At 51.1% G+C, this 6,956-nt stretch overlaps 1 annotated feature.

Moving 5' to 3' along the window:
- Nucleotides 1-961: an enhancer, noted in NCBI's record as "H3K4me1 hESC enhancer chr5:176139283-176140243 (GRCh37/hg19 assembly coordinates)". NCBI's record gives its function as "activates a minimal SCP1, AML or CMV promoter by ChIP-STARR-seq in primed H9 embryonic stem cells {active_cell/tissue: H9 hESC(primed)}" and the evidence as "EXISTENCE:reporter gene assay evidence [ECO:0000049][PMID:30033119]".

Below are 6,956 nucleotides of genomic sequence, written 5' to 3' on the forward strand. Positions count from 1 at the left end.
TTGGGTGCAGGGCCCAGTAGAGAGGCGGGAGAGCTGCTTGTGGACCGTGGTCGGCCACCTCGCCAGCTGGACACCTCTGGGCCTCACTGTCTTCCCAGCTGCAGGGATTAAAGGGGACAGCGAGGGGTGGGGCAAGCCCTGCACATGTTTGTCTGTCCATTCAACATTGTTTTTGAAGCACTTACTATGTGCCAGATGTTCCTCTGTGCCCTGGGGCTCTGGTGGGCATGTCCTTGGAGGTCCCTGCTCATGTTCCAGTGGAGAAGGAAGAGGACGATGGACAGGCCAGCAGATAAATGAATGAGAAAGACAGCATGTGGTCTGCACCAGTGGCAGCACAGCCGATGGAGCAGGGACCTGGGGCAGGAGAGGGAGGTGGGGAGCTGAGGCCTGGGCTGCTGAGGATATGGGAGGGCAGGCCAGCCGGGGAACAGCAGGAGCAAAGGCCAGGAATGGGGGCCAGCCTCAGAGGTTTGGGGGAAGTGACGGAAGCAGATGGAGCGAGGGAGTGGGGGGAAGCGTGTGGCCCTGGAAAAGAGTCTGGATTTCCTTCCACTGCAGCCAGAAAGTCACTGGAAGCTTCAGCACGGGAGTTCCGTGATCTGATTTACATTAGAAAACAGAACCCGAGATGCTCTCGTGTGGAATGGAGAGACTGGGGAGGAGGTGACAGAAAATTTAGGAGGCTGTAGTGAGAGAGGAGGGGGTTTGGACCAGGGGGGCCGGTGAGAGAAGTAGCTGGGCCTGGGACAGGTCTGGGGTGGAGCCTGCCGCCTCTGCTAATGGGTGCCTGTGGGAGGCCCTTTAGAGAAGAGCAGGAGGAGGTCTGATCCAGAGCCTGAGCCAGCCCTGGAGACGGGAAGGCCATGGGAGGGAGAGCAGGGAGCTCTGCTGGACTCTGGATTCCGGGAGGGACCTGGGAACCTGAATTTTTAATGAGCTGACCCCCAAGGGATTCGGGTGACGCCTCTGCTCTCAAATTTCAACTCTGGACTTGGAATTCTATATGTGTAAAAAACGTAGCCTGGGGGTTCCGGTTGCCAAGTAAGGGGTGGAATATAAAAATTTAAACATAGAAAACACTTGTCATTTCACTCATTGTGACTCTCCTCCCATGAAACAGCAAAGAGAAGACTCCGGAGTCCCCTCTCACAGCAAGGAGGTGGGTGTGCTTTCCCGGGGGTCCTCCCCTCCCGCAAGGGCCTCTTCTCTTTCACACTCTGAGATTCCAAGGGTAGCAGCCCTCTCTGAGGTGCCTACAGCCTGCATGTGGGTGGAGGAACTGGCAGGTGAAGCCAACACCCCCAAACTACCAATGATTCCAAGGGTCTGATGTAAGAACTCAGCCGCCCCTGGAGACGACTCAGTAGTCAGGGTGAGCTGAAAGTGGCAGCTTCCCCTCCAGAGCATACCTCTTCTCACACACAAGCCTGGGAGGTTGGCCGTCTAGGGCTCATGGACCACTGTGTGCATCAGAGACCCAGGCTCCTTCTGTTTATCTGTTGCCCCTTCCTAGCATGTGGCCTCTATCCTAAGGTCTCCTCATGGCCCAGAAAGACTGCTGGGCTTCCAGTCATGATGTCAGGCTGGAAGGGGAAAAATGGAGGAGCAAAGAGGGTCTAGCTCCTCCTTCTCAAGGAGTCTGCCCAGAAGTCCCACACACATTTGCTTACGTCTCGTTGGCCAGAATTCAGTGCACTGACCACACCTAGCTGCAAGAGAGGCTGGAAAATGTAGGGGGTTTTTTTTGTTCTATTTTCTTTTTGTTTTCTTTAAGCTGAGCCCCTTGCTCAGGACTATAGTGAGACAGAAGGGAGAAAGGGGTGTTGGAAGGCAATTAGGCACCTTGGTCCCAGGACATTAGTGGTGACAACAGGTAAATGAGATCAAGGCCTGCCCCTGCTTAAAACTCTCCTGTCCTCTTCACCACAGCCCCACAGCCCTAGTTGATCCAGGCCCTGCCCCACCCCTTCCTGACTCATCTCCTCCTTCCTCTCATTCAACATGTGTTGAGCTCATCCCCCACCCCCCCAGGGCCTTTGCAGTTGCTGCTCCCCCTGCCTATAACACGTTGCCCCAGGATCCTCGTACAACTCACTCATCTCATCATTAGGCCCCGGCTCACATGCCCCTCCCTAGGGGGCCTGCCCCACGCTCCCTACCATAGTCACTCTCAGCCCCATTCACCTGTTTTCCAGAGCACCCAGAACACTCCGGAATTTGCTCCTGCGTCCCGTGTTTATGCTCTACACAAGGGGGAGACTGTCACTTTTGCCCAAAGCTCAGTGGCACAGCCAGAGAGGCTGCCCACATGCAGGTGCAGATGGAGGAGAATCCTTCATTTGTGTTTCCTCCTGCACCATAGTCTGCGGGGGGCCGGTGTGAGAAGCCTCTTGCCAGAGGCCTAGGTTCAGCACAGCCATTCACATTTTTGGTGGGCTTTTTTTTTTTTAATTGAGACAGTCTCACACTCTGTCACCCAGGCTGAAGTGCAGTCGCGTGATCTCGGCTCACTGCAACCTCTGCTGCCCAGGTTCAAGTGATTTTCCTTCCTCAGCCTCCCAAGTAGCTGGGATTACAGGCATGTGCCACCACGCCTGGCTAATTTTTGTATTTTTAGTAGAGACGGGGTTCCACCCCATTGGCCAGGCTGGTCTCAAACTCCTGACCTCAAGTGATCCGCCTGCCTTGGCCTCCCAAAGTGCTGGGATTACAGGTGTGAGCCACCGTGCCCAGCTTAGCCATTGGTGTTCGGAAAGCGCAGTACTTTGTTCCTCCTCACTCAGCCTCACTGTGGGCCTTGGCGGTAGAAGGGTGGTTCCTCCGACTTTCACCATGCCTGTCTGTCCACTTCAGAGGGACAGGGGATTACACACAGGGAGCCCTGCACTGGGGCTTGGTTGCAGATGTTCACACTGCCTCCAGTCTATGCCCGGGACTCAGTAGATACCCTGGATGGCTTGTCACCATCACCCAGACTCCCTCTGCCCTCTCCCCGTGGTTGGGCTCCCTGTGTCTATGGTCATCGCTTTCTTGCTTTGTTCCCTTGTGGACCACAGGCTCAAGTAGCTTCTTAAGAAAGAGGGGAAGAGGTCTGCAGAAGTATTTTTCTCTCTTCTCATTTGAGAAGTAGTTTATCTGGGTATAGAATTGAGTTTGGAGATAATTTTCCTTCAGAATTTTTAAAGCATTACTTCTTGTCTTCTAGTTTTTCTGGAAACTTGAAGTTCTGCAGCAATGTACTTTGGTGTGGGTGTTTTCAACCACTGTGGTGAGCAACTGAATCCTTTTAATCCCAAAACTGGTGTCCCTCATTTCTGAGAAATGTTGTTGAGTTATTTCGGGTATGAGTCCTTTCCCTCTGTTTTCTCTTTCTTGACTCCTGTTATTCATATGTGCAATCTCTTGAATTGATCTTTCAATGTTCTTAACTTTTACCTCCTATTTTGCTTTTCTTTGTCTTCTTGCTCTGTTTTCTAGGAGGTTTCCTCCCTTTTGCCCTCTAAGCCATCCTTTCGTTCTTCTTTTTTAAAAATCATTCATTTGTGCTTTTCATTTCCAAGAACTCTCCTTCAACTCTCTGTTCTCTGACTGTTCATTTTGTTAGCTCTTCGTGGATGTAACATCTCTTATCTCTCTGAGGTTTTTAATACACTTTGTAAAGATTTTCTTCGGAGATAACCTTGCATGGTCCCTTTCTTTACACTGTTATTTTTACTCTTTGTTTTTGTTTGTTTGTTTGTTTGTTTGTTTATTTTGAGATGGAGTCTCGCTCTGTTGCCCACACTGGAGTGCAGTGGCGCAATCTCAGCTCACTGCAGCCTCTGCCTCCGGGGTTCAAGTGATTCTCCTGCCTCAGCCCCCCAAGTAGACGAGACTACAAAAGCCCACCACCATGCTCGGCTGATTTTTGTATTTTTTGTAGAGACAGGGTTTCACCGTGTTGGCCAGGCTGGTCTCAAATCCTGACCTCAAATGATCCGCCTGCCTTGGCCTGCCAAAGTGTTGGGATTACAGGTGTGAGCCACTGCGCCCGGCTTTTTTTTTTTTTTCCTCTTTGTCTCTTTGTTTTCTCTATTCCATGATGAGCCGTCCCTAAGCTGTCTGCTGATTTGAGGCTCATCAGATCATGATCAAGTTCCAAAATGCAGACTGGAAGCTCCCAGATCTTGATGAGTCATCACCTGGCGAACCTCCCAGTGTTGGTAAGTTGAGGTCTTGCATTTGGGCTGGCCAGATCCCTAGGAAAGACTCAATCTCCTGCCTGGTAAAAATCTCTGGCTTATCAGCTTCTGGAACTGATTAAGGGAAGGAAGCTGGGCAGGGGGGTCCCAGGATTCTGTAGCCCCCGTTTTCAGTACAGCAGCTCTTAGCTGTGCCTCGCCTCCCCCAGTCTAGTGCATAAACCTTGGACTTTTGCTAGTGGTTGGGGAGAGGATGGGAGTAGTGATCTAACAGCTTGGAGGGAGGTAGGGGATCTAGAGCCTATCGGTTTTCAAAAGCTTTTGCTCCACTCTTTCTTGTTTTAACTCCCATTCATCCCCATTTCCAGGTGTACCTGCAGCTGCAAGTTCCTGAGGCTTTGAGGGCTCTGAGATGTGAATAGACTTGGATCTCTTCTAGAGAATCAAATAGCCTAAGGTCCTGTCCAACGGAGCCCTCTCTGTCAGGTATCACTCATCCCTCTGTTCCCAGGTTCCACAACTGCGTTGCTGTCATCTCCTCCTCTGTTATCTTTCTTATCAAATTGGTGTTTTTTAAAAGATCATTTGCTGTCCAGGCGCAGTGGTTCATGCCTGTAATCCCAACATTTTGGGAGGCTGAGGTGGGAGGATCAGGCCAGGAGGCCTGAGTTCGAGATCAGCCTGGGTGACATAGTGAGATCCCATCTCCACAAAAAAATAAAACAAGTATCAGGGCATGGTGGTGCACTCCCGGAGTCCCAGCTACTTGGAAGGCTGAGGTGGGAGGATCGATTGAGCCCAGGAGGTGGAGACTGCAGTGAGCTATGACCGCTCCACTAAACTCCAGCCTGAATGATGAAGCAAGACCCTGTCGCTAAAAAATAAAAATAAAATTTAAAAATTCATTTGCTGTATTTTAAGTGGAGGATGGGCAGGAGTGAAATTAGATATGCATGTTCTGTCTGCCATCATATCTCACCCTCCACAGCTTACAAAGGAGGTGATGGGAGTGAGAGTTAGGGCTTCTGATGGAGATGAACAGGCACGGAACACCTAACCCCCTCCTGTGTATGGGCGACCCTCACTTTATGAGGCTGAGCCCATCACCCCTTGTAGAAGGGGTATGACGATGCCATATACATACTTGCCTGTCATGCCGAGCAGCTAGGCTGGGATTCTGTGCCCAAGCCCAGCCAATAAGACGCTCCCCGCCAAGATCTGGTCAGGAGCTAGTGAGCAAAGACGCAGGAGTCAGGGAAGACCTTTGGGGCGGGGTAGCAGCAGGGACCATGCCGCATGCAAGCTGAGGTGGGCACGGTCGGGGTGCTGGCAGCCTTGTTCCCATCCGCTGGGTTCTTCAAAGGATTTGGACAATGATCAGCTAAGAGCCCTGAGTGATTCACACAACTGGCTAGTGGCAGGCTACTGGCAGTTGGGGTCAGGGCAGGGACCTCCTGACAGGATGCCATGTCCTTCTCCCTGTGCCCTTGGGTCCTGCTCAGCCCTTTGGAAGCTGCACCTGGAACCTCCCCAAAGGGGGCCTTCCCCACCTGCAAACTTCTCACAACCTCTGTCCTGCTCTGCCTCTCCAGACTGACCCTCTCCTGCCCTTCCCAATCCCGGACCCTTAACCTCCTGTCCCTTATCCAGAGGCAAGTCTCTTAGTCCATTTTTGTGGCTATAAGAAAAAACTCCCAACTGGGTAATTGGTAAAGAACAGAAGTTTCTTTCTCACAGCTCTGGAGGCAGGGAGGCCCACAGTCAAGGAGCTGGCCGGTTGGTGTCTGCCGAGGGCCTGGTCTTTGCTTCCACCATGCTGCTTGGCTGTTGCAGCCTCCAGAGGGGACGAAGGCTGTGTCCTCACCTGGCAGAAAAGCAGAAAGGCAAAAAGGGCCTCAGCTATTTCCCTCGAATCCATTCATGGGGTGGAGTCCTCAGGACCTAATTCCTTCCCAAAGTGCCCAACTCCTAACATTCCCCCAGTAGGGATTCCGTTTCCACATGCATTTTGGAGGGGGCCACACTTCAAGCCGCAGCAAAAGCCTGCCCTGTGGCTTACAGCATCAGCTTACGCAGCCCACTGGGTTCCAGCTCTCCATCTGCCCTGGCCGTCTCTGCTCCTCCTCTGTTTCAGCCAGCTCCATGCTCCCACACCTGTAGAATGCCTTGGCCACCACACTTCTCTCCAGCCAATATTTAAATATTTTTAAAAACATTTCCTATTTCATATGTTTACGCCTGTTCTCCTGGCTAGAAATGTAAGTGCCTTACCCCTTCACTGCAGAGTCCAGGGCCAGGCAACTTGCAAACAATACAGATATACTTTTTGCAAAATGTCCAATAAATGATTTCTTCACTTCCCTGCTCTGTCAAGGAAGAAAGCGTTTATGAACTCATGTATGATTTATAGACACAAATATTGGTAGTGAAAGTTATTCACCCATATCTGACCTTAGTTGTCAACTAGTTTTTATTGTAAAACCAATGTAACGTGAAACATTTTTGGGAAAAAATGGGGAAATCATCCATAATTCTACCTGGCACAACTATTTTCATTTTTATTTTTCCATGTATATTGCCTTCAAGCCCTTTTCCTAAAATGTCCATAGCTCCAATCCTGGTAGTTACTCCCCATAAAACCTGGCTCACAGGACAGGTCCCAAGGCAGCTTTCCTGGACCCTGAGTAACTCCTTGTCTCTCTGCCTCTGTCCTTGACCTTCTCACCCCAAGTGTCGTTCCTTGTTTTCACGTCTCTCCTGCCCTGACGGGGC

Source organism: Homo sapiens, chromosome 5 (assembly GCF_000001405.40).
Source record: "Homo sapiens chromosome 5, GRCh38.p14 Primary Assembly".
In the NCBI taxonomy this organism is placed as follows: domain Eukaryota; kingdom Metazoa; phylum Chordata; class Mammalia; order Primates; family Hominidae; genus Homo; species Homo sapiens.